At 56.5% G+C, this 25,569-nt stretch overlaps 4 protein-coding genes and 1 long non-coding RNA gene across 10 annotated transcripts in view, besides 3 other annotated features; 3 read left to right on the top strand and 2 right to left on the bottom strand.

Annotated features, from left to right (window-relative positions):
- On the top strand, positions 1,639-4,778 carry RAX2 (retina and anterior neural fold homeobox 2). Of its 2 annotated transcripts, none has more exons than NM_032753.4 (3): positions 1,639-1,704; positions 2,116-2,340; positions 2,908-4,778. In NM_032753.4, the coding sequence occupies exons 2-3, from the start codon at positions 2,125-2,127 to the stop codon at positions 3,244-3,246; spliced, it is 555 nt and encodes a 184-aa protein (NP_116142.1). In that variant the 5' UTR covers positions 1,639-1,704; positions 2,116-2,124; the 3' UTR covers positions 3,247-4,778. The 2 variants fall into 2 exon arrangements, with proteins under 2 accessions (NP_116142.1, NP_001306003.2); NM_001319074.4 differs by having other exon boundaries at positions 1,857-2,340.
- Positions 2,847-3,346: an enhancer, noted in NCBI's record as "H3K4me1 hESC enhancer chr19:3770519-3771018 (GRCh37/hg19 assembly coordinates)". NCBI's record gives its function as "activates a minimal SCP1, AML or CMV promoter by ChIP-STARR-seq in naive H9 embryonic stem cells {active_cell/tissue: H9 hESC(naive)}" and the evidence as "EXISTENCE:reporter gene assay evidence [ECO:0000049][PMID:30033119]".
- MRPL54 (mitochondrial ribosomal protein L54) lies at positions 6,302-11,185 on the bottom strand. Its single transcript, NM_172251.3, has 3 exons — positions 11,049-11,185; positions 8,536-8,701; positions 6,302-6,606 (listed from the first exon to the last, which is right to left on the bottom strand). The coding sequence occupies exons 1-3, from the start codon at positions 11,164-11,166 to the stop codon at positions 6,474-6,476; spliced, it is 417 nt and encodes a 138-aa protein (NP_758455.1). The 5' UTR covers positions 11,167-11,185; the 3' UTR covers positions 6,302-6,473.
- Positions 10,822-11,311: an enhancer, noted in NCBI's record as "active region_13744". NCBI's record gives its function as "activates an Ori minimal core promoter by ATAC-STARR-seq in GM12878 lymphoblastoid cells {active_cell/tissue: GM12878}" and the evidence as "EXISTENCE:reporter gene assay evidence [ECO:0000049][PMID:35858748]".
- Positions 11,227-12,113, top strand: LOC105372248 (uncharacterized). The gene is made up of 3 exons (XR_936268.1): positions 11,227-11,309; positions 11,661-11,718; positions 12,013-12,113. It is a non-coding gene; the product is annotated as an uncharacterized LOC105372248 (long non-coding RNA).
- Positions 11,973-12,290: a silencer, noted in NCBI's record as "fragment chr19:3761575-3761892 (GRCh37/hg19 assembly coordinates)". NCBI's record gives its function as "represses an EF-1alpha promoter that drives an FKBP-Casp9 reporter gene in an ReSE screen in HepG2 liver carcinoma cells {active_cell/tissue: HepG2}" and the evidence as "EXISTENCE:reporter gene assay evidence [ECO:0000049][PMID:32094911]".
- APBA3 (amyloid beta precursor protein binding family A member 3) lies at positions 12,175-23,095 on the top strand. 3 transcript variants are annotated; one of them, NM_004886.4, is made up of 11 exons: positions 12,175-12,331; positions 13,566-14,178; positions 14,267-14,306; positions 19,527-19,672; positions 19,762-19,848; positions 19,941-20,102; positions 20,877-21,047; positions 21,147-21,359; positions 22,314-22,433; positions 22,538-22,678; positions 22,770-23,095. In NM_004886.4, exons 2-11 carry the CDS (start codon positions 13,603-13,605, stop codon positions 22,839-22,841), a joined length of 1,728 nt encoding a protein of 575 aa, NP_004877.1. In that variant the 5' UTR covers positions 12,175-12,331; positions 13,566-13,602; the 3' UTR covers positions 22,842-23,095. The 3 variants fall into 3 exon arrangements, with proteins under 3 accessions (NP_004877.1, XP_006723013.1, XP_006723014.1); XM_006722950.5 differs by having other exon boundaries at positions 22,314-22,678; XM_006722951.4 differs by lacking the exons at positions 12,175-12,331; positions 14,267-14,306 and having other exon boundaries at positions 14,092-14,178; positions 22,314-22,678.
- TJP3 (tight junction protein 3) overlaps positions 23,054-25,569 on the bottom strand; it is a 42,430-nt gene continuing 39,914 nt past the window's right edge. For all 3 annotated transcript variants that reach the window (NM_001267560.2, XM_047438611.1, NM_001267561.2), the window contains exons 20-21: positions 23,683-23,729; positions 23,054-23,285 (exon numbers count right to left, since the gene is read on the bottom strand). In NM_001267560.2, the coding sequence (NP_001254489.1) occupies positions 23,183-23,285; positions 23,683-23,729 (150 nt within the window). In that variant the 3' untranslated portion in view covers positions 23,054-23,182. The remainder of the gene's footprint in view (positions 23,286-23,682; positions 23,730-25,569) is intronic.

Below are 25,569 nucleotides of genomic sequence, written 5' to 3'. Positions count from 1 at the left end.
TGGGAGGCCGAGGCAAGTGGATCACCTGAGGTCAGGAGTTCAAGAGCAACCTGGCCAACACGGTGAAACCCCATCTTCAGTAAAAATACAAAAATTAGCTGGGCGTGGTGGCGCACCTGTAATCCGAGCTACTCAGGAGGCTGAGGCAGGAGAATCACTTGAACCTGGGAGGCGGAGGTTGCAGTGAGCCGAGATCTCACCACTGCACTCCAGCCTAGGCAACAGAGTGAGACTCCTTCTCAAAAAAACAAAAATAGGCCAGGCGGGGTAGCTCACACCTGTAATGCCAGCACTTTGGGAGGCCAAGGCAGGCGGATCACGAGGTCAGGAGTTCAAGACCAGCCTGGCCAAGGTGGCGAAACCGTGTCTCTACTAAAAAATACAAAAATTAGCCAGGCGTGGTTGCAGGTGTCTGTAATCCCAGCTACTCAGGAGGCTGAGGCAGGAGAATTGCTTGAACCCAGGAGGCGGAGGTTGCAGTGAGCTGAGATCGTGCCACTGCACTCCAGCCTGGGCGACAGAGTAGGACTCTGTCTCAAAAAAAAACCCAAAAACTAAATGAAATATCAACCCACCTTGCCCCCACAGGCCCCCCTCCGTGGGTTTTCTCCCTAGGCTCGTGGCCACTGGCCACGCTCTGCATTTTAACACAGTGGTTGGTTGTCTGTCTGCCCTGCTAGAAAGTCAGCCCCGTGACTTCTGTCTGTTTTGGTCACTACTGCTGTGAGCAGTACCTGGTACACAGTAAGTGCTCAATAAATGTTTATTGAATGGTGAACTTCTGTTTTTCTTTTTTGTTGGTGGTGGTTTTGGTTTTTTGTTTTTTTTTTTTTTTGAGATGGAGTTTCACTCTGTTGCCCAGGCTGGAGTGCAATGGCATGACCTTGGCTCACTGCAAGCTCCACCCCACCAGGTTCAAGCAATTCTCCTGCCTCAGCCTCCCGAGTAGCTGGGAGTTATAGGCACCCACCACCACGCCTGGCTAATTTTTGTATTTTTAGTAGACAGGGTTTTGCCATGTTGGCCAGGCTGGTCTCAAACTCATGATCTCAGGTGATCCGCCCGCCTCAGCCTCCCAAAGTGCTGGGGTTACAGGCGTGAGCCACTGCGCCCGGCTGTGAATGGTGAACGTCTATTCATACCTCCAGACCCAGCTAAAAGGGTCCCTACCCCTTGTGTCCAGAGGAACCAACTGCAGTGCCTTCACCTCTGGACCTCAGCTTCCCCAACTGCCTCTGACATCTGTGAGTTCTAAGACACCTTTTTCTGCCCCCAGCAGATAAAAATATTAACAGTGAGCATTCATTAAGTGCCCCCTGTATGCCAATTTCTGTGCGATGCTCTGAGAAGCTGAAATCCCCCCAGGGTAGGTCCTAGTGTGGCAGTTTTACAGCCAGGGAAACTGAGGCCCAGAGAGGGAGAGGCCCTTGCCGTCTTATGGCAAGGGGCCGTGGAGCCTGTAAGACTATCCCCCCAGCCACCCACTTAGAGCCCCAGCCCTCCATCCACCCTGCCCTCCCTCCTGGCTCAGAACAGCCCAGGACCAAGTGGGAGGGGCCGCCTCAATTAATCACCTTGAGCTAATCCTCCCCCACGCAGCCCCGACCTGGCTCGGCTCCGGCAGGGCCAGGCCACAGCAGACGCAGCGCCAGGCCCGCTGGGGCAGGTGTCCCGTGGAAATCGACGGAGGGGCTGCCGTGGGCGGTGAGTGCGGGGTGGGCACTGGTGGGCCTGGGTAGGAGGTGGTGGGGGCAGAGATCCCCTCAGGGTGGAGGGCTTAGGGCGTGAGAAGGGATCCTGCCTTCCTTGACGGGGGGGCATCCTTGACCCCCCCCCGCCGACACACACACACACAGGCCGTGACAGTCACAGAGAGGGGAAGAGAAAACAGGGACGGTGACACACACAGAGAGAAGGAAGAGCAGACAGAGGCACAGCAGGAGACCCCCCCAAGCCCGAGGAGGACAGCCTGGGGATGCAGAGCGCATGCCGGCCCCAGTGGAGGGAACCGATTTCCCCGGAGCCGGGAGGCAAGCCTGGGGCTCCCCTGCCCTGTCCCTGCCGGTAGCCCCCCCAGCCGTCTCCCCACCATCTGTCCCGCTGCCGTCCCACCAGGTGGGAGCCATGTTCCTGAGCCCGGGCGAGGGGCCGGCAACCGAGGGTGGGGGTCTGGGGCCGGGCGAGGAGGCCCCCAAGAAGAAGCACCGGAGGAACCGCACCACCTTCACCACCTACCAGCTGCACCAGCTGGAGCGGGCGTTCGAGGCCTCTCACTACCCGGATGTGTACAGCCGTGAGGAGCTGGCAGCCAAGGTGCACCTACCTGAGGTGCGCGTGCAGGTGAGGGCACCCCCCAACACACACATCTTTTGCAACCTGGGGAGGGAGGCAAAGCAAGATCCTGACCCTCCCGGAGCAACAGCAGAAGAGAAGCTAGGAAGGCTTCCTGGAGGAGGGGGTGTGGGAGCTGAGGTTTTGACATTTGAGTAGGAGTGTGCCAGCTGGGAAGGAAAAGGGGAGTTTTTCTAGGCATCCTGAACAGTGTGTGCAAAGACATGGAGGGGTTAAGTTGGAGGCGTTTCCCTTGAGCCAGGGGTGAAGGAGGAGGCAGAGAATGGTGTGGGTAACAACGCTTTTGAAGGCCTTGAATGCCACGTTAGGCAGCTCAGGTTACTTGCTAAGGGCCAAGGGAGGCCAAGGAGGGGAGTGAGGAGTTGGAGGGGAGCCTGGGCTTAGGGAACGCTTGGGAGATCCTCATCTTCTTGGGGCAGAACAGCGAAGCAGCAGGTAGGAGTCGGGTCAGACGGGAGTCAGAACCCCCAGGGCTGGGGTGTGCAGAGGGGGTCCGAGGATTGGCGGGGAGCGGCTGAGCTCACAGCAACCCCCCTTCCCTCTCGCACCCTCCAGGTGTGGTTCCAGAACCGCCGGGCCAAGTGGCGCCGCCAGGAGCGGCTGGAGTCAGGCTCGGGTGCCGTGGCAGCTCCGAGACTCCCCGAGGCCCCAGCGCTGCCGTTCGCCCGCCCCCCGGCCATGTCGCTGCCCCTGGAGCCCTGGTTGGGCCCCGGACCGCCGGCCGTGCCAGGCCTCCCCCGCCTCCTGGGCCCGGGCCCGGGGCTGCAAGCGTCCTTCGGGCCTCATGCCTTTGCTCCCACCTTCGCAGATGGCTTCGCCCTGGAGGAGGCGTCCCTGCGGCTGCTGGCCAAGGAACATGCACAGGCTCTGGACAGGGCCTGGCCGCCAGCCTGAGCCTGCCGCCCTCCCGGGCCCCCTCCTCGGCCCAACCCGAGAACCGGGGACGTGCCCTGGTGACAGCCACCACGCCTTGGCCTAGGCCGAGGTCATGGAGCAACCGTGGTCAGGCCAGGCCACCACCACTGGGGAGCGGGACCAGAGAGACAGGCTGCTGGGTTCCCTGCCCCCATCCCGTCTCCCACCCCATCGCCACCCGTCCTGCTGGCAGCGGACTGGCCCCCAGTGTCAGGCAGGAGGTGACCCAAGTATTCTCAGGCCAGGTGCGGGGACCTCCTCCCCTCCTGGGGCCTCAGTCTCCTGTCTGTTAATTGGGCGTGGGGGCCTCCGAGGTTCGAGGGCTGCGAGGCTGTGGGTGGCGGGACCGCTGACTCTGTAAGATGAGTGTAAATCTCTCTGCTTCTCCTAATCCCCATCAGCAGAGCTGCCCACTCTCCAGGCTCCCAGTCCCCTGGAAATAACAAATAGCAGCAGCTCCCGCGAGCCTGGTCTCCTCTCACCGTGTGCTCGCCATGTGAGCACTCCCCTCTCCGTTGTGCCCTGGACCTCGGGCACAGCTGTCAGCCCATTCTATAGAGAGGGAAACCGGGGCTTAGGCAGGAAGCCAGGTCCCCAAAGTCGCACGGCCAGGAGTGGATGGAGCTGCCTTTCAGACCCATCACCGGTCCTACCGTCCGGGGCACAGCGACAGGTTCTGGAGAGAGGGTGGGTCCCGGGCCAGGTGCTGGTGGGCCTCCAGGTGGAGGCGGGCTGATGCTGGGTGTGTCGTCATCGTCAGACCGTTCCTCACGTCCCCACAGACCCCAGGCCCTGTGCATGTCCCCAGTGGAGGCATGGCCAGCATCTGCTCTGTCCAACCCAGCCGCATCGCCCAAGAGCTCTGAGCAAGGAGGCTGTCGCGGGGCCGAGAACCCGCTGGGACTGGCAAGCACGGCTGGCCCAGTGCAGCAGGAGGGGGCCCTGAGGCATGGGATGGGACAGTCTGGGCCAGCGCCACCTCCCGGGACAGAAGTGCGGCACCAGGGCAGGAGCTGCAGTAGCTACCCTCCCCGTCTCCAGCCTGGGCTCCCCAGATCACTCCCAGATCACCAGGTCACCCCATCTCTAGGCGGCACCTCACACACCAGTCCTGTGGTCCAACGCCCCGCCATCACCCAATGTCACCGCACACCAGGCAGTGGGGACACGGCAGTAAGCACAAGAAAGATTTTTTTTTTTAAAGCTAAACCAGGCCAGGTGCGGTGGCTCATGCCTGTAATCCCAGTGCTTTGGGAGGCTGAGGTGGGAGGATTGCTTGAGACCAGCCTGGGTGACACAGCAAGACCCCATCTCCACAAACGTTTTTAAAATGTGCCGGGTGTACTGGTGCACACCTGTCATCCCAGCTACCCAAGAAGCTGAGGCAAGAGGATCACTTGAGCCCAGAAGGTCGAGGCTGCAGGGAGCTGTGATCACACTGCTGCACTCCAGCCTGTGCAACAGAGCCAGACCCTGACTCAATACAAATAAAAAACAAATCTAAAACAAAAGACTTCAGACAGTGATAAGTGATAGGGAGAAAAAAAAACCAGGAAAGTCAGATGTGGAGTGTGGCAGGGGCTGCAATTTTAATAGGGAGTTCTGGAGGAGGGGAGGCTGGCGTGAAGGTAGAGACCGGGGGCGGGAGGGAGAAGGTCTAGGGAAGGAGGGAGCTGGGCAGAGGCACAGGCTGTGCAAAGGCCCTGGGGCAGGACCACGCCTCGTGCATTGAAAGAATAGCGAGGAGGCCCATGCGGCTGGAGCAGAGTGAGGAGGGGGAGGAGGGAGGTGATGGGGAGGCCAGGCAGGGCCAGTGGCTGTTATAACTTTGATTTTTACCCTCAGAACCTTGGGGAACAACAGGAGGGTGGGAACGGCTGGCACCACCTGCAGTGAGCGCGAGAGAAGGCGCGCTCACACCCCCGCCTGCCCAGGGAGGCCGCCGGGGACAGCAGGTGCGCAGTAATCCCCTCCACTCCAGAGTCCCCTAAGAGGATGAAGGTTAGGGTTTCCCTGAGACGGGCCCCGCCCCGCCCATCCAGCTTGTGGACAGAGGAAGCCGGAGGGTGGGTGAGCCCAGTCCAAATCCCCCAGGGCACCCACCTAGGCATGGGTGGGGCTGCTGTGGCAAGGGTGGGGCCGAGGGCATGACCCTTGGGGGTTCTGCAGGACGTGGGGTCCATGAGGTGATCTACCCCCAGCAAGAGGCCCCATCACTCCCTAACTACGTGTCACCCTCAGCCTCCTCTAATCTGGTGGACTCCAGCCCTCGTGATCCCGCCCCATCACAGCCAGGCAGGGCAGGAGTTGTTGGGACTGCAGGGAGGCCAGTCCTCACTCAGGCCTAGGGTCAGACCCTGGGTCAGGGTCAGGGTGCCGAAAGCCGACTCCAGAGGGTGGACTGGGGGCGGAGGTTGAGACCTGGGCTCCAGTGGAGTGGACAGAGGACTTGGGGGTGGGGAAGGAAGGCCCAAGCCCCTGGGCTCCAGGGATAGGCCAGTGAGGACCACGCTGTGACTGCAGCAGGAAGGAAGGGGCAGTCCCTTCCCTCTGATTCTACTTGCTGCGCTGGTGGGGACGTCGGCCAGGAGCCCTCGGGCTACCCTGCCCATGAGTGCCAGCCCCTGGGGGATCCAAGGACCCTGAGATGGAGAGAGCCTTGGGTCTGAATACCGAAGCACCTGGATCCAGCCACACCTAAAGCCACACCACTACCCGCTCCGGACATCTCCTTTCTTGAAGCTCATAAAGCCTCTTTTCTGACTCTGATGGCTTGAGATAGTTAGGTTTGAGTCCCTTGCAACCAAGAGTGGCTTAGCTAGGACAACCCCCTCACCCAGCAACTTGAGATTTGGGGCCGGGGCCTCGTGAGCAGTGTCAGGAATTCCAGGAGTTGGGGAGAGAAGCCCACCAAGGGCCGGAGGCACAGGGGACCTGCAGACGGCCCACCACTGGCTGGGGTGGAGGCTGGGATCCCTGGGGTCTGAGGGACCCACTTCCCGCCAGGCCGACACCAGACAATACCAAGGGGAAATAGGGTCTACCCAGAAAGCTCTTTATTGGCCTCCAGGGCCCTGGTCCAGCCCCACTGTGGGGTCACATGGAAACCCAGGCTGGGGAGCCGCCTCTTGTCTCACAAAAGTCCACGTCCTCCGGGAAAACGGCAAGCCCTCGGCGTGGGGGTCAGCGATGCCGGGCCCTCCATGCTACAACCTCTTGTTCTTGCTCAGCCGGTTGTGGCGCCAGATGTTCTGTTTCCGCAGCCGCCGCCAGTACTCCCGGCTCTCGGGGTCCAGCTCCTCCAGGGTCTTTGGGGGACCCAAGTTCATCTCGAACAGCCTGACGGGGGTGCGGGCAGGAATCAGAGCTACACGGTGACCCCTGGGCTCCCTGGTGTCCCGGGCACCTCGGGCAGAGGCGGCGACGGGGCTGGGTGCCAGGCCCACTGGTTGGCTGCATGATCTCAGGGTGGTCCCTCCCCGACCCTGGGCTGGGTGGGTCCCTGGCCATGCAGCAATGGAGCCAACCCCATCCCAGTGGCACATCTGAGGCTGGCACACGCCAAGCCCTCTCCTGCCTCCTAGCACTGTCCACATCATGCCACCTGCCCCCACTTGCTCAGCCTTCCTGACCCTCCCCAGCCTTCAGATCAGCTTGGGGCCACAGCAGAACCCTTCCTGCAGCCCACAGGTCCTGCCCTCACCTCCTCCCTCTCTCGCCCTCCTCACTGTGCTCCAGCCACACAGGCCTCCCCGCTGTTCCTCCAGCACACCAGGTGCGGTCCTGCCCCGGGGCCTTTGCACAGGCTGTGCCCACTGCCTGGAAAGCCCCTTCCACCCACTCCCGTCTTGGCTTCTGTGTCCCCCAAACCTCAAACTAGAGCAGCCAAACACCCCGGCTCTGTCCCTCATTCTCCTGCCCCCTTCCTGGAAGTGTCACCACCACAGCTGCCTGACTTCCTCCTTCCTGTCTGCCTCCCCAGCTAGCTCCGCCAGGGTGGGGACTTGTGTCTGTTTTGAGCCCTTCTGTATCCCTCAAGCCTAGAGCAGGGCCTGGCATGCAGTCAGTGGTCAATAAGTATTTGCAGGACGGGTGCGGCGGCTCACGCCTGTACTCCCAGCACTTTGGGAGGCCGAGGTGGGCGGATCACCTGAGGTCAGGAGTTCAAGACCAGCCTGGCCAACATGGAGAAACCCTGTCTCTACTAAAAATACAAAATTAGGCCAGGCGTGGTGGCTCACGCCTGTAATCCCAGCACTTTGGGAGGCCAGGGCAGGCGGATCACGAGGTTATCAGGAGTTCGAGACTAGCCTGGCAAACATGGTGAAACCCTGTCTCTACTAAAAATACAAAAATTAGCTGGGTGTGACGGCGGGCACCTGTAATCCCAGCTACTCGGGAGGCTGAGGCAGGAGAATCATTGGAACACTGGGAGGTGGAGGTTGCAGTGAGCCAAGATCACACCACTGCACTCCAGCCTGGGCGACAAGAGCAAAACTCCATCTCAAAAAAAAAAAAAAATTAGCCAGGCATGGTGGCGCATGCCTGTAATCCCAGCTACTCTGAAGGCTGAGGCAGGAGAACCGCTTGAACCCAGGAGGCAGAGGTTGCAGTGAGCCAAGACCACATGACTGCATTCCACACTGGGTGACAGAGCAAGACTCCATATAGAAGAAAAAAAAAAATTTTTTTTTTTTTTTTTGAGACCAAGTCTCACTCTGTTGCCCAGGCTGGAGTACAATGGCGTGATCTCAGCTCACTGCAACCTCTGCCTCCCAGGCTCAAGCAATTCTCGTGCCTCAGCCTCCCAAGTAACTGGGACTACAGGAATGTGCCACCACACCCGGCTAATTTTTATATTTTTAGTAGAGACGAGGTTTCACCATGTTGGCCAGGCTGGTCTCGAACTCCTGACCTCAGGTGATCCAAACGCCTTGCCTCCCAAAGTGCTGGGATTACAGGTGTGAGCCACGGCGCCCAGCCTGAAAAAAAATTTTTTTTAAGTATTTGCTTAAGATAAAGCATTGTTTTAGGTACTTGACATGTGTTCTAATCTCATGAATTCCTCACAGCCCTCTGAGGGAGGGATGGGTCCCATCACCCCATTACAGATGGGCAGAGCCCTGAAGCCCCCTGCCCTAAAGCCAGGATGGGTAGGTGTGACTATTAGGCTCCGGCTGGAGTGGCGATCCGCCTCTCCGGGAAGGGGTCCTCCTGGGGCGGAGGAAGGAATAGTCATTGCAGGATGACACAGCCTGGCCTACTCACCATTCAGGGTACTCAGCATCCGGTTTCAGGGGTACATCCTGCCCTTCCTTGTAGATGTTGACGCCCATGGCATATGTGGTGAGCTGGACAGGATCTGTGCATACGTCGGGGTCCTTGAGGGCCTCGCTGGTCACTGCACCTTTTCCCGATTTGGCCCCCTTCATAACTGGGGAGACGAGAGGGAGAGTCATTTCAGCCCAGCCCCTCCTCTGGAAGCCAAACTTCTCTCACAGAACCCTGTCTCAGGTGGCCTCTGCCCCTGGCTGGACTCTGCTACACTCAAAACTTTCTTTTTTTTTTTTTTTGAGACGGAGTCTCGCTCTGTTGCCCAGGTGGAGTGCAGTGGCGCAGTCTCAGCTCACTGCAAGCTCCGCCTCCCGGGTTCAAGCCATTCTCCTGCCTCAGCCTCCCAAGTAGCTGGGACTACAGGCGCCCACCACCACGCCCAGCTAATTTTTTGTATTTTTAGTAGAGACGGGGTTTCACCGTGTTAGCCAGGATGGTCTCGATCTCCTGACCTCGTGATCTGCCCACCTTGGCCTCCCAAAGTGTTGGGATTACAGGCGTGAGCCACCGCGCCCGGCCACTCAAAACTTTTTTTTAAAGACAGGGTCTCAGCCAGGCATAGTGGCTCATGCCTGTAATCCCAGCACTCTGGGAGGCCGAGGTGGGAAGATCACCTGAGGTCAGGTGAGTTTAAGACCAGCCTGGCCAACATGGTGAAAACTTGTCTCTACTAAAAATACAAAAAAAAAAATTAGCTGGGCATGGTGGCATATGCCTGTGATCCCAGCTACTCGGGAGGCTGAGGCAGGAGAATCACTTGAACCCGGGAGGCGGAGGTTGCAGTGAGCTGAGATCGCATCGCTGCACTCCAGCCTAGGTTACAGAGCAAGATTCCATCTCAAAAAAATAAAAAATCTAAAAAATTAAAAAATAAAGACAGCCCGGCCGGGCGCGGCGGCTCACGCCTGTAATCCCAGCTCTTTGGGAGGCCAAGGTGGGCGGATCACGAGGTCAGGAGGTTGAGACCATCCTGGCTAACATGGTGAAATTCCATCTCTACTAAAAATACAAAAACATTAGCCGGGCATGGTGGTGGGCACCTGTGGTCCCAGCTACTTGGGAGGCTGAGGCAGGAGAATGGCGTGAACCCAGGAGGCGGAGCTTGCAGTGAGCCAAGATTGCGCCACTGCACACTCCAGCCTGGGCGACAGAGCGAGACTCCGTCTGAAGAAAATAAAAAAATAAAAAATAAAAGCCCAGGCTGGAGGGCAGGGGCACAATCATGGCTCACTGCAGCCTCAAACTCCCAGGCTCAAGTGATCCTTCTGCCTCAGCCTCCCAAGTAGCTGAGATCACAGTTGTGAGCCACCATGCCCCGCTTATTTTTATTTTTATTTATTTATTTATTTATTTTGAGACAGAGTCTCACTGTGTCGCCCAGGCTGGAGTGCAGTGGCGTGATCTCGGCTCACTGCAACCTCCGCCTCCTGGGTTCAAGCAGTTCTCCTGCCTCAGCCTCCTGAGTAGCTGGGATTACAGACATGTGCCACCATGCCCCACTAATTTTTGTATTTTTAGTAGAGCTAGGGTTTCACCATGTTGGTCAGGCTGATCTTGAATTCCTGACCTTGTGATCCACCTGCATCAGCCTCCCAAAGTGCTGGGATTACAGGCGTGAGCTACCGCGCCAGGCAATTTTTTTTTTTTTTTATACAAACAGGGTCCTGCTATGTTGCCCAGGCTGGTCTCGAACTCCTGGGTTCAAGCAATCGATCCTCCCTCCTTGGCTTCCCAAAGTGCCGGGAATAAAGGTGTGAGCCATCATGCCTGGCCTCGAAATCACTTTAAGTGGGATTTGGACACAGCATTAAGTAACTTTAAGTGGGATTTGGACATAGCATTAAGTAACACCGATGCTTGGAATGACCAAGTCATTCAAGTTATATTTTGTCTGCTATGTGTCTGTCTTTAAGGCCGAACATTGGACAATTTCCCCCTTTCAACAAAGGAGATCAGGCAAGGCTGTATCCAGCTAAACCTTAATAACCTTGTTTTGTTCTTGCTGAAGTGGCCAATTAAACGGGCTCCATAATTTCTTTGAATGTTTGGTAACGTCTTGGCCAAGGTTACCCAGCGATTTGGAGGCAGGCAGAGAAACAGAACTGGAACCCAAGTTCATGACCTCCCCAGACTCCCTTCAAATCCTTTCCAACCCGCGCCTGCGCAGTGAAACGCGTGGTCTCCACGTAACCACATCCTCCTCCCAGGCCGCTCCGCCCCAAGCTGGCGCCTGCGCCCTGGGTCCAATCGCTACAGTATCTCCGAGCCAGACGCCCGAGCTCCAAGCGGCGCTGGGTCCCTCAAACTGCGCCTGCGCATACAGCCTGGCATCCGCCTCTCTGCGCTTGCGCATCAGTTCTAGCACCACCTCCCCAACCACCGCCTGCGCACTGTCAATTCCTCAGTGCACCCACCGTCCCCATTTGGTTCCTCTTAACCCAGCTCACCTGGTTTCTTGGCATAATCCCGGGCCAGGAGTCTTCCGGAAGTGGCGGGGTTTAGGAGCTCCCAGGCCCCCCAGCCGGCCCACGTCCGGGTAGCCCCGAAAAGGCGTTTGGTCGCCATGACGTATTGCGGGCAGCTTGCAAGTGCACGTTTCCGGAAGACGTCAGTGGCCCAAGGGTGTTTGGGAGTTGTAGGCCCCGTGGAAGTGTAGGCCCCGTGGAGGTGTCTGGGAAATGCGGTCTCCCAAGCTTTCATAATCTATGGTGATTTCTTCAGACTTTTGTAGACATACACAGTTACTATAGGAGGAGGCGTTCAAGGGATATTTCATTGACTTCTTGCCCTTCTTCAATTACATAACATTTACTAAAAATATCACACTTTATATGTTCCTGATTCCATCCAATGAGTAATTATTCAAAGCTTTAAAGTTAAAAAAAGAAGATTAACAATGAGTCTAATATACTCCAGTAGGGCTGGAGTCTAATCACTGTTAATTTTTATAACATTATATTTTTAAAATTATATATAACATATATAATACATATAATATATAGTATGTTTTATATATAATATATAAATTAATAATATATATTTTATATATTCTTTTCCAGCTCTACTACTGCTAAATCCTTAACCCGCTTGATCTAATTTAATCCTCACAATTGAGAGGTAGGTACTATTTTTTCCCCAGCTTATAATGAGGAAACTGAGTTCTCAGGGAGGTAAAGTTCCCAGGCCGACCCCAAATCCATGGTGCACCTATGTGTCTCCCTACTGTGAGCCAAACCGAAAGTCCGTCTTTAACAGGGTCTCCACGACGCTTCCGGTGCCTCAAGGTCCCAAGGAAACCACCTCTCACACTTCTTTAATATTTCCCAACCCCACTTCTCCCCATCTGCCATCCTTTGGAATAATGAACACAGCCCCCAGAGCCAGGCAGTGATTATTAACCCTATTTTGCAGGAGAACAAACAGGTCCTGGGGCCAGCCGGGGCAGTCTGCGGGCCGGGAAGCCTGGGATTCGAACTCCCCTCCAACATCTGCAGTTGTCCCAGCGCCCCCGCGTGGCGAGGCTGGGTGGGAGAACTACATTTCCCAGCAGGCCTCGCGAGGCCGCGCATGCTCAATGGGCCAGGGCTCTGCGCGGATAGAGGAGCGGGCGCCGGGACCGGGAATCCCCGAGCTGCGCCTTCTGGGGACGCGGCCCGGGCTACGTCGGGGCCGTCCGTGGGGAGCGGGGTCCTGGAGGCTGCGCGGGGCTGAGGCGGCCTCGATTTGGGAAGTGAGTGTCCTCGAGGTGCAGAGCGCAGTCTGAGTCGGCGCTTGAGGTCTTCGGTCTGAGGGGGGACTAGGGTCTGGGCTTGGGGCTGGGTCCTGAAGTCGGGGTCTGAGTCTGGAGTCGATCTTGGGGTAGCATTGGAGGTTTGGAGACTGGGGTCCGCCTTATGGCGTCTTGGGTCTCTGGTATTAAGTCCAGGGTCCTGGGTCTAAAGTTCTGGATGGAGGTATTGGGGGTTGAGGTCATGGGACTGGGGTCTTGGGTCTGGGGTCTTGGGGAACTGCCTCTGACCAGTCGGTAGAGTCAGGGTGTGAGGTCTGGGTCTCCAGCCTGGGTTCCGCGTCTTGAGGGAGGAGGACCTGGAAGAACCAGGGCTGGAGTGAACAGACTCCATTAGTTGAGAGAGGTCTGGGATGACACAGGGGCTCGGGAAGCCACTGCCTCACACCTCCCCATTCTGTGGCTCAGTTTCTTCATCTGTAAAATGGGAATCCTAACTTCCTTGCAAGGGTTAGTGGGTATTAAATTATGTGCCCTGTATGAACAGTACCCAGCTAGAGCCTAGCACCGGATAGGCAGCCGGGAAACCTCAAGTTTTTTGTTTTTCGGGTTTGTTTGTTTTTTTTAAGACAGGGCCTCACTCTGTCACCCAGGCTGGAGTGCAGTGGCACAATCAAGGCTCACTGCAGCCTCTGCCTCCCCTGGTTCAGGTGATCCTCCCACCTCAGCCTCCCAAGTAGCTGGGACTACAGCCTACACCACCACCCCTAGCTAGTTTTTTTTTTTTTTTTTGGAGATAGTCTCGTCTGTCGCCCACCTTGGAGTGCAATGGCGCGATCTCAGCTCACTGCAACCTCCGCCTCCCGGGTTCAGGCGATTCTCCTGCCTCAGCCTCTTGCGTAGCTGGGATTACAGGTGCCTGCCACCACACCTGGCTAATTTTTTGTATTTTTAGTAGAGACGGAATTTCACCATGTTAGTCAGGCTGGTCTCAAACTCCTGACCCCATGATCTGCCCGCCTCGGCCTCACAAAGTGCTGGGAATTACAGGCGTGAGCCACTGTGCCCGGCCTTAATTTTTTGTATTTTTTGTAGAGAGAGGGTCTTGCTCTGTTGCCCAGGCTGATCTTGAACTCCTGGGTTCAGTCAGCCCTTCTGGGCCTCCCAAAATTCTGGGATTACAGGCATGAGCCACTGCACCCGGGCGAAACCTCAGTGCTGACTCTCTCTCTTTCAGCTGCCTGAAGATGCCGGCCTAAGCCTGGAGTCCAGGCATGGACTTCCCCACAATTTCCCGATCCCCTTCGGGGCCTCCAGCCATGGACTTGGAGGGGCCCAGGGACATTCTTGTGCCTTCGGAGGACCTCACCCCTGACAGCCAGTGGGACCCTATGCCAGGAGGCCCCGGCAGCCTCAGTCGGATGGAACTTGATGAGTCAAGCCTTCAGGAGCTGGTGCAGCAGTTTGAAGCTCTGCCAGGCGATCTGGTGGGCCCATCCCCAGGTGGAGCCCCCTGTCCCCTACACATTGCCACAGGCCATGGCCTGGCCTCCCAGGAGATTGCTGATGCCCACGGGCTCCTGTCTGCCGAAGCTGGCCGGGATGACCTGCTGGGCCTCTTGCACTGCGAGGAATGCCCGCCTTCCCAGACTGGTCCTGAAGAGCCTCTAGAGCCTGCCCCCCGACTGTTGCAGCCCCCTGAGGACCCAGATGAGGATTCTGACTCCCCAGAATGGGTGGAGGGGGCCTCTGCTGAGCAGGAGGGCAGCAGGAGCTCAAGCAGTTCCCCGGAACCCTGGCTGGAGACGGTGCCTCTAGTCACACCTGAAGAGCCACCCGCTGGTGCCCAGGTAGTGCCCGCCCCGCCCTCCAGGCATCCTGGACTGCCTGGAACCAAGCAGGGAGACTCAGTCCTGCCCCTCCTCTATCTTCTTCCAGAGCCCCGAGACCCTGGCTTCCTACCCTGCCCCCCAGGAGGGTGAGTGTCCCGCCCACCCTAGCCTCAGGCACTGAAGGCCCCTAGACAGCCAGAATCAGGCTCACCAGCCTGGCAACAGCTTGCCAGTAAGGACGAGGTTCTCGGGAGCCTCTGAGGGTGGTTTCGAGCAGATTCCGGCTGGCCAGGGAGAGGAGAGCCAGCCTTGAGAACGGGGTAGAGTGAGAAGGGGACTGTGGGGCAGCTCCGGCCATTGGCAGCACTGGGTTCTAGAACCGGGCTTGGCAAATCATCGTCGTCGGGCCAGACCCAACTCACTGCCTGCTCACGTAGGTCTCGAGTTAAAGATGGTTTTTGCGTTTGGGGCTTCTTTACTTTTTTTGATGACTTCTGTTATCCAGGCTGGAGTGCAGTGGCTTGATCTCAGCTCACTGCAACCTCCATCTCCCAGGTTCAAGCGATCCTCCCACCTCAGTTTCCCAAATAGCTGAGACTACAGGTGCGTGCCACCACGCCCAGCTAATTTTATTTCGTATTTATTTGGGTAGAGATGGGGTTTCACCATGTTGCCCAAGCTGGTTTCAAACTCCTGAGCTCAAGCGATCTGCCTGCCTCAGCCTCCCAGAGTACTGAGATTACAGGCGTGAGCCACCATGCCCGGGTGTCCTTTGCATTTTTAATTGACTTTTTTTTTCATTGAAAGAAGAATACTATTTCTTTCTTTCTTTTTGAGACAGAGTCTGTCACCCAGGCTTGGAGTGCAGTGGCGTGATCCCGGCTCACTGCAACTTCCGCCTCCCGGGTTCAAGTGATTCTCCTGCCTCAGCCTCCCAAGTAGCTGGGATTACAGGTGCTCGCCACCACGCCCAGCTAATTTTTGTATTTTTAGTAGAGATGGGGTTTCACTGTGTTGGCCAGGCTGGTGTTGAACTCCTGACCTTGTGATCCGCCCGCCTTGGCCTCCTAAAGTGCTAGGATTACAAGCGTGAGCCACCACGCCTGGCCAAAGAATACTATTTCTTGACATGTGAAAATGATATGCTAGGCTGGATATGGTGGCTCACACGTGTAATCCCAGCTCTTTGGGAGGCTGAGGCAGGAGGATCGCTTGAGCCGGGAGTTGGAGACCAGCCTGGGCAACGTAGCAAGACCCCATCTCTACAAAAAATGTTTAAAGTTAGCCAGGTGTGGCGGTGCATGCCTGTAGTCCCAGCTACTCAGGAGGTTGAGGCGGGAGAAGTTCTTGAGCCCAGGAGGTCGAGACTGCGGTGAGCTGAGATCACCCCACGCCACTGCACTACAGCCTAGGCAACAGAGCGAGACTCTGTCTCAAAAATAAAAAAATGCAATTCAAATTTCAGTGTGCATAAGCTGGGCGCGGTGGCTCACGCCTATAATCCCAGCACTTTGGGAGGCCAAGGTGGGCAGATCACTAGGTCAGGAGTTCGAGACCAGCCTGGCCAACATTGGTGAAACCCCGTCTCTACTAAACATACAAAAATTAGCCGGGCATGGTAGTGCACGCCTGTAATCCCAGCTACTCAGGAGGCTGAGGCAGGAGAATCACATGAACCCGGGAGGCGGAGGTTGCGGTGAGCTGAGATCACGCCATTGCACTCCAGCCTGGGCAATAGAGTGAGACTCTGTCTCTAAAAAAAGAAAAACAAATTTCAGTGTACATAAATAAAGTTTTATTGGTACACATCATGCTTGGTTATTCATGTGTTGTCCATGGCTGCTCTGATGTTCGAATGGCAGAGGTGAGTAGCTGCAGCAGATACCTTGTGACCTACAAGGCTGAAAATATTTACTCTTTGGCCCTTTACAGAAAATGTTTGCCAAGCCCTGCCCTAAAAGCATGGGAAGAACAATTTCTGGCCCTCTGGAATGTTCTAGACTTTTTTTTTCAGTGGTGCAATCTCAGCTCACTTCAACCTCTGCCGCCCGGATTCAAGTGATTCTCCTGCTTCAGCCTCCTGAGTAGCTGAGATTACAAGCGTCCGCCACCGTGCCCAGCTAATTTTTATATTTTTAGTAGAGACGGCGTTTCACCGTCTTGGTCAGGCTGGTCTCAAACTCCTGACCTTGTGATCCACCCGCCTCGGCCTCCCAAAATGCTGGGATTACAGGTGTGAGCCACCGCGGCCAGCCTCTGTTCTACACTTCGCTAAGGATATAGGTCAGATAGTAAGTTCTGGCCGGGAAGGGTGGCTCACATCTGTAATCCCAACACTTTGAAAGGCTGATGTGGGAGGATCGCTTGAGCCCAGGAGTTCGAGACCAGCCTGGGCCACACAGCAAAACCCTGTCTCCACAAAAATAAAATCCCCCCCCAAAATTAGCCAGGCACGTGGCATGGGTCTATAATCCCAGCTACTTGGGAGGCTGAGGTGGGAGGATCACTTGAGGCTGCAGTGAGCTAAGATTGTGCCACTGCACTCCAGCCTGGGTGACAGTGAGACCATGTCTCAAAAAAAAGAAAAAAAAAAACAGTTCTGTGGTTGCAGAGAGAAAAACTGGTTTGAACCTATAGCTCTAAGAAGGTTCTAGAATCGAGCAGAGCTGTGACACCTAGGGAGTTCCAGGGCTTGGCATTTTGTCTGTTTCTAGGGTAAAGGAATCTGGGCTGATGAGAATGCTCAGAATTGGTGAACAGAGGCATCTGGTTCTACTCAGACTGGAGAATTCTAGAACCATGGAGGGAATAGTTATCTAGTGTTCTATAACCCTGGGCAGAGCTGTCCAATTATAGTGTAATCAGAAAGTTCTAGATGGAACTACAATAGAAATACAACGTGAGCCATATGTGATTTAAAATTTTGTAGTTATCCACGTTAAAAAATTAAAAACAGGTGAAATAACTTTTTTTTTTTTTAAACTGAGACGGAGTCTCGCTCTGTCGCCCAGGCTGCAGTGCAGTGGCACGATCTCAGCTCACCGCAACCTCCGCCTCCCAGCTTCAAGCGATTCTCTCGCCTCAGCCTCCTGAGTAACTGGAACTATAGGCATACGCCACCATACCTGGCTAAGAAATTAACTTTAATAACATTTTAATTAAGCTAACATATTTAAAATATTATTTCAACATACAATCAATATTTTTAATTTACTTTTTTATTTTTTTGAGACACAGTCTCACCTTGTTGCCCAGGCTGGAGTGCAATGGCGCAATCTTGGCTCACTGCAACCTCTGCCTCCTGGGTTCAAGTGATTCTCCTTCCTTAGCCTCCCGAGTAGCTGGGATTACAGGCGCCTGCCACCATGCCCAGCTAATTTTGGTATTTTTAGTAGAGACGGGGTTTCACCATGTTGGCCAGGCTGGTCTCAAACTCCTGACCTCAGGTGATCCGCCCGCCTCTGCCTCCCAAAGTGCTGGGATTACAGGCGTGAACCACCATGCCTGACCTTAAATTACTTTTTTTCATACCAAATCTTCAATATCTAGTGTGTATTTTCTATTTACATCTCTATTCAGTCGAGCCACATTTCAAGTCTGTGATAGATACATGTGCCTGGTGGCTACCACAGTGAATGACGTATCTCTCTAGAACCCCAGAGTGGAGCTCTTGTTCCAGAATGCTTAGATCCTGAAGGATAGTGGGCAGAACCGACTGTGGTGTAGGGTGAATTTCACTTAGTGGTGTCCAGAACGGGGCCCTACACCCGTGGTTCTAAACCAAAGAGCCGTAGTTACTGGTTAGAATGTTCTAGGGCCACTGGCAGAGCTGTCTGGCTCTGGGTAGCTCAGGGAATTCTAGAACCATGAGAGTAAAGCTTTTTTTTTTTTTTCCTTTTTGTTTTTGGAGATGGAATCTTGCTCTGTCACCCAGGCTGGTGTGCAGTGGTGCGATCTCTCTCGGCTCACTGCAACCTCCACCTCCTGGGTTCAAGTGATTCTCCCGCCTCAGCTTTCAAGTAGCTGGGATTATAGGCACGCGCCACCACGCCCAGCTAATTTTGTATTTTTAGTAGAGACGGGGTTTCGCCATGTTGGCCAGGCAGGTCTCGAACTCCTGACCTCAGGTGATCCACCCCCCCCCCCCGGCCTCCTAAAGTGCTGGGGTTACAGACGTGAGCCACCGCACCCAGCCAGGAGTAAAGCTTTATGTAGTTCTGGGCTGGGTTGGGAGTATTCTGGAACTGTCTAGAATTCTCCTGGAACAGAATTGTTTGTTCCTTGACTGGTCAGGTAATTCTTAGAATCCCTGGTGTAGCCAAAGGTGTGAACTACTGAAGGAGATTCTAGAACCACAGGAAGAGCTGCCTGACGCGATTGTGATTAAGATGTTCTGGAATCACGGAGCAGAGAAGTCTGATTCTAGAGTGATAATAAGATTCTAAAACTCCTGACAGAATTGCTATGAGACCTGTCAGAGAGTTCTGGAATCAAGGGTCAGAACCAGCTGGGGTTCTGGAGAGTATGGGAATTTTAGACAGGCAGCAGGGTCTGTCTCTGTTCTGAGTGGTTCTACAACCCGGGAACAGAGCTGCCTGCTATCCTGGGCTGACTGCAGACGGTTCTAGAACAGTGGGCAGAGCTGGCCAGTTCTAGATTGATGGAGGGAATTCCAGAACCAAGAAGCAGGGGTCCACTGTGGTTCTAGAATGTTGTGGAGGTTTCGAAATTGGAGTGGGGGGTGGAGCGTCGTGGCTCACGCCTGTCATCCCAGTACTTTAGGAGGCCAAGGCGGGTGGATCACTTGAGGTCGGGAGTTTGAGACCAGCCTGGCCAACGTGGCGAAACCCCGTCTCTACTAAAAATACAAAAACTAGCCAGGCGTGGTGGTGGGCGCCTGTAATCCCAGCTACTCATGAGACTGAGGCAGGAGAATCGTTTGAACCCAGGAAGCGGAGGTTGCAGTGAGCTGAGATCACACCACCGAGCTCCAGCCTGGGCGACAGAGCGAGACCGTGTCTCAAAAAAGCAGGAGTGGGACTGTCTGGTTCCGGCCTGATCATGGAATTCTGGGGACACGGGGTGAAGGTATCTGTGGGTGCTAGATCTGGCTTTGAATCCAGCCATGGCCTGGACTCACTGGTTTCCCACCTGCGAGTCCTTGAGGGATGGACAGAAGGTTCTAGACCTGTGAGGGCCAGGCTGCTTGGATGGTTCTAGAACAGTGGGCTGTGCTTCCTGGCTGGAGAGTGCTAAGCCACCAGCTAGAACACTGTGTCTCCCGGCCATCTCGGAGAGCGTAGCCCTGGGGCAGAGCCTGTGGGAGTGGGCCCCTGGGGGCCGACCCTCTTCGCTGTCGCCCTCAGTGCCTGGTCCCTGTGACCATGAAGACCTCCTGGACGGTGTCATATTTGGGGCCAGGTACCTGGGGTCCACCCAGCTGGTGTCGGAACGGAACCCGCCCACCAGCACGCGCATGGCCCAGGCCCGGGAGGCCATGGACCGCGTCAAGGTGAGGGGGCGGCCGGGGCCGGGCGGGCAGGCGGGTGGGCTGCAGGCTGGGTCTGTGGGGGCCTCCACCTCCCACGCCGCCACCCACAGGCCCCCGATGGGGAGACCCAGCCCATGACGGAGGTGGACCTGTTCGTCTCCACCAAGAGGATCAAGGTCTTGACAGCGGACTCCCAGGTACGGGGCAGGGACCCGCCCCAGGGATGCGGGTGGGGTGATCGAGCCTGGCACGGCCCCCCAACCCACCCAGGCTGCCTCTCCCGCCCCAGGAGGCCATGATGGACCACGCCCTGCATACCATCTCCTACACAGCCGACATCGGCTGCGTGCTGGTGCTGATGGCGCGGCGGCGGCTGGCACGGAGGCCGGCACCCCAGGACCACGGCCGCCGCCTCTACAAGATGCTCTGCCACGTATTCTACGCGGAGGACGTGAGCAGCCAGGGCGCGGGGCCACCCTCCTGAGGCCCTCCTCACTGCAACTGTCGCCTCCCTCAGTGGGCCGTGCATTTAACCTCCCTCCCATAAGCTTATTTTTAAATTCTTTTTTTGGGACAAGGTCTCCTTCTGTCACCCAGGCTGGAGTGCAGTGGCGCAATCATAGTTCACTGCAGCCTCAACCTTCCAGGCTCAAGCGATCCTCCCACTTCAGCCTCTCTAGTAGCTGGGACCACCGGGGTATCACCATGCCTGGCTAATTTTTGTATTTTTTATAGAGACACGGTCTCGCTCTGTTGCCCAGGTGAACACGGTCTCAAACTCCTGGGCTCAAGCGATCCACCCACCTCAGCCTCCCAAAGTGCTGCAATTACAGGCGTGAGCCACCGCGTCCAGCCTCCTATAAGACTCCAAGACTCTCGGCCGACTCCCCGAAACCTTGCCCGCTCCTGGGCTGTCCCTGCCACCCATGAGGCCCCAGGCCCCCTGGCTGGGTCTTTGATAGCTTTTCCCACAGCCCATGCGCAGGGAGCTGCCTCCCTCATCGTCCCCCCAGCCCAGGGCTGCCCCTCCCCTTCCTTCTCCCCGTAGATTCCCCAAGATGCGGCTGTCTCTCCACCTCCCCCAAAGCCCCAGGGCAGAAGGCTGTGTCCTGGGACTCTCACCCCAGGTGGGGACAGGAGGGCTCAGCTCTGAGGACCCTGGGGACTTTGGGGACCTGGAGGAGGTGGGTGGGACACCCCAGGGACGCGCCACTCCTCCCCGCAGGCCCAGCTCATCGCCCAGGCCATTGGCCAGGCCTTCGCCGCCGCCTACAGCCAGTTCCTACGGGAAAGCGGTATTGACCCCAGCCAGGTGGGCGTGCACCCGAGCCCAGGCGCCTGCCACCTCCATAATGGGGACCTGGACCACTTCTCCAACAGTGACAACTGCCGGGAGGTGAGTGAGGTGCTGGGCAGCCCCCACCTGGTGCCCCCCACACCCGTGCACCTGCACCGGGCCCTGCTGAGCAGCCTCCGCGCCCCCTGTGTGTCCCAGGTGCACCTCGAGAAGCGGCGAGGGGAGGGCCTGGGCGTGGCCCTGGTGGAGTCGGGCTGGGGCTCCCTGCTGCCCACAGCCGTCATCGCCAACCTGCTGCACGGGGGGCCTGCTGAGCGCTCGGGGGCCCTCAGCATCGGGGACCGCCTGACCGCCATCAACGGGACCAGCCTGGTGGGGCTGCCCCTGGCTGCGTGCCAGGCCGCTGTCCGCGTGAGTTTCCTGGTGTGGCAGGGCCCCCACACTCCCAGGAAGGGGAGCTGAGTCCCAGAGAGGTCTCCTCCCTGGCCAGGTCTCTCCAGCCCAGCCAGGAGGGACAAAGTCGAACTTTTAAGTCCTGCCCACTGGTGTGCCCTTGGGGAAACTGAGGCCTGGAGAAGGGAGGCCACTTGTCCAGGGCACCTCCCTAGTACCAGAGCCAGGATGGAAATGCGGGTGGCCCAGCTCCAGGGCTGGGCCACTCTCTCTCTCTAACAAGAAACAGCTAATTTCTGGGGGGGTTTGTTTGTTTGAGACAAGGTCTCACTCTTGCCCAGGCTGGAGTGCAGCGGTGCACCTGGCTCATTGCAGCCTTGACCTTCTGGGCTCAAGCAAATCTCCTTCCTCAGCCTCCCGAGTAGCTGGGACCACAGGTGTGCACCACCACGCCCAGTTTATTGTTTTATTTTTTGTAGAGATGGAGTCTCACTATGTTGGTTGGCCAGGCTGGTCTTGAGCTCCTGGCCTCAAGTGATCCACCTGCCTCGGCCTCCCACAGTGCTGGGATTACAGGTGTGAGCCACTGCACCTGGCCATGTTTTTGAGTCTCAACCTTTGTTGCTCAGATGGGGAAACTGAGGCCCAGAGATAGGGAGGGACCTGCCCCCGTCAGAGGAATGAGGCCACAGTCCGTGCAGCCTCTTACAGATGTTTGCAGCCTGCCTGGAGAGCCCGGCTGTCGGCTTGGCTTTTGGCCATAAGGAAGCGATATGGCTCGGGTCAGACAGCTTCGACCCCATGCCCACCGGGCCCGAGTCTGTTCTCTATCACATCTGAGGGGGTCTTCCAGAATTGAGCCCCTGGACTCCAGGTCTCTGGTTTATGAGAGGGTAAACTGAGGCCCAGAGGGGGCTACAACCTGCCAGGCTGTCCGGCAGCTGAGTGAGGCCAACGGCCCCCGCCCCACAGGAGACGAAGTCGCAGACGTCGGTGACACTCAGCATCGTCCACTGCCCTCCCGTCACCACCGCCATCATCCACCGGCCCCACGCCCGCGAGCAGCTGGGCTTCTGCGTGGAGGACGGCATCGTGAGGCCCCGGCCCCTGGCCCCGGGGTGGGGGGGTAGGGCGGCCCTGAGCACGGCCCCTGAGCAGCCCCCACCTCTTTCCCGTCCCCCTCTTTTCTCCCCCAGATCTGCAGCCTCCTCCGTGGTGGCATCGCCGAGCGTGGGGGCATCCGCGTCGGCCACCGCATCATTGAGATCAATGGGCAGAGTGTGGTGGCCACGCCACACGCCCGCATCATCGAGCTGCTCACCGAGGCCTATGGCGAGGTGTGCGGGTGGTGGGTGGTGGCCAGGGGCGCCCCCACGTCCCCCACGAGCCCAGGCCTGCCCTGAGCCCCGTTCCGCCTCCACTCCCCAGGTGCATATCAAGACGATGCCAGCTGCCACATATCGCCTCCTTACAGGCCAGGAGCAGCCCGTGTACCTGTGACCACCTCATCCCTTGCCTGCCACTGTGCCTTCGCCTCCATGGCCCCGGAGCCCCATCCTGGGCCTGCCCTGGCTGGCCAGGACCCCAGCGGTTCTTGGTCCTGTATGATTTCCTAATATAAAAACAGTAAAAGCTTATGCATTTGGCAAAGTCTCGGATCAGGGTCTACGGGACCGAGGACCTTGTCCTTCCTGGAAGCCACTAGAAGCCGGTGCTGTGAAAATACTCTGTTTATTAAAGACCAGGCGGAGGGAGGTAAGGTTGTGGGTTCTGTATGGGAAACTGAGTCCCAGCCCCAGGGAGGGAGAAGGAGGACGGACCAGCTGGCAGCCTTCGAGAGGTCACAGGTCAGTGGCCGGACCCCAGTCATAGCCGTCTTCATCGGAGGACTCCGCATCATGTACTCGCATAAACTTTTTCTTCAGGGCTTCCCGTTCATAGGTTCTGGGGATCAGGAAATAGAATAGATGCTGTGGGTGGGAAGGGTGTGAGCTTTCTCACCATAAACTGAGGCTGGCTGTGCTAGGCACAGTGGGTGTGGGCAGAGATAAGCACATCTGGGCATTCATGGGTAGGGCCTTGTTAACAAACTCCTATGCATCCCTCAAAGCCCCAGCTGCAATATCCTGCCCTTCAAGAAGCCTTCCTAGGCCTCCCAGGAAGTGGATTCCTACTCCCTTGGCCCTGATTATATGGGGCTTAGAGAGGCTCTGGCAGGCTCTGTCTTCCCCACTAGGCTAGGGGCACCATGAAGGCATAGCTTGGATCTAGATCTGAGTCCGCAGAGTCTGAGTCCCAAGGGAAGGGTTGAGGGCCCCAATCTGGAATATGGGGTTCTTACCGCATGCTGTCCTGTCGCCACTGTCCCTGGGGGTGGCGGCTGTCCACCTTGGAGGAGAGGGAGAGAGGAGCTTCAAAACTCCCCCCAGAGCATGGTGAGTCGAGATCAATAACCACCTCCATCCCATCCCCCACCTTGGCCCGGGCCATGCTGCCCACTTGCTAACCCCGTGACAAGTCTGCAGGTCATCCCCAAATCTAAATGAGAAAACTGAGGCTGGGATAGGGGAAGGCCTTAGCTGAGACCTCCTAGCCTGTCAGCAAAAGGGGAATTGGGTTTCTCATCTGTGCAAGTCCTCACAGGGCCACAGCCATGAGTTCATGTACGTAAAGGACTTAGTACAGTGGCTGCTCCGTATGCAGCCTGCCATGGACAGTTGAGCAGGTTGGGTACTGCACAACCCCAGGAAAATCACTCTAATCAGAGATGTCATTGATTCATAGATTTTTACATTGACCTAGAGAGGGTGTGGAAGAAGATGCTGAGGCATATACACTAAGAGCTACATACACATTTGTTACTGTTAAACACCCAACTACAGCTGGGCGCTGTGGTTCACGCCTGTACTCCCAGCACTTTGAGATGCCAAGGCAGGAGGATCACTTGAGCCCAGGAGTTAGAGACCAGCCTGGGCAACATAGCAAGACCACATCTCTGCAAAAAATGAAAAAAAATTAGCTGGGTGTGGGTGGTGGTGCGCGCCTGTGGTCCCAGCTACTCCGGAGGCTGAGATGAGAGGCTCCCTTTAGCTCAGGAGTTGGAGGCCGCAACGAACTATGATTGTACTACTGCACTCCAGCCTGGGCAGCAGGGCAAGACCCTATCTCTAAAATTTAAAAAATAAAATATATAAATTAGATAGGTCAAGTTCAAAAAGACACGCAACTACTATGTGCCAAAACTTGGGCTGAGCACATTGAGTGCTCACCACCGCCCTGTGCCACCAAGTCTGATACCATCCACCCTGTGTCCTAGATGAGGAAACAGGTGCACAGAGAGGTTAAAATGTTGGCTGGAGGCCAGGTGCGGTGGCTCACGCCTCTAATCCCAACACTCTGAGAGGCCGACGTGGATCACCTGAGGTCAGGAATCGGAGACCAGCCTGGCCAGCGTGGTGAAACCCTGTCTCTACTAAGAATACCTTAAAAAAAAAAAAAAATTAGCTGGGCATGGTGGTGCTCACCTGTAATCCCAGCTACCTGGGAGTCTGAGGGAGGAGAAACGCTTGAACACAGGAGGCCGAGGTTGCAGTGAGCCCAGATCGTGCCACTGCACTCCAGCCTGGGTGACAGAGCGAGACTCTAACTCAAAAAAAAAAAAAAAAAAAAAAAAAAAAGGCCGGGTGCAGTGGCTCACACCTGTAATCCCAGCACTTTGGGAGGCCGAGGCTGGAGTTCCAGACCAGCCTGACCAACATGGAGAAACCCTGTCTGTACTAAAAATACAAAATCAGCCAGGCATGGTGGTGCACGCCTGTAATCCTAGCTACTCAGGAGGCTGAGACAGGAGAATCGTTTGAACCTGGGAGGCGGAGGTTGTGGTGAGCCGAGATCACGCCATCGCACTCCAGCCTGGGCAACAAAAGCGAAACTCCATCTCAAAAAAAAAAAAAAAAAAGCCTGGGTGCAGTGGCTCATGCCTGTAATCCCAGCACTTTGGGAGGCCAAGGCGGGTGGATTACAAGGTCAGGAGTTCAAGACCAGCCTGACCAATGGTGAAACCCCGTCTCTACTAAAAATACAAAAATTAGCCGGGCATGGTGGCAGGTGCCTGTAATCCCAACTACTCAGGAGGCTGAGGCAGGAGAATCGCTTGAACCTGGGAGGTGGAGGTTGCAGTGAGCCAAGATTGCGCCATTGCACTCCAGCCTAGGCGACAGAGCAAGAC

This window comes from Homo sapiens, chromosome 19, assembly GCF_000001405.40.
Source record: "Homo sapiens chromosome 19, GRCh38.p14 Primary Assembly".
Lineage (NCBI taxonomy): Eukaryota > Metazoa > Chordata > Mammalia > Primates > Hominidae > Homo > Homo sapiens.
This window is presented reverse-complemented; position numbering and strand designations above follow the sequence as displayed.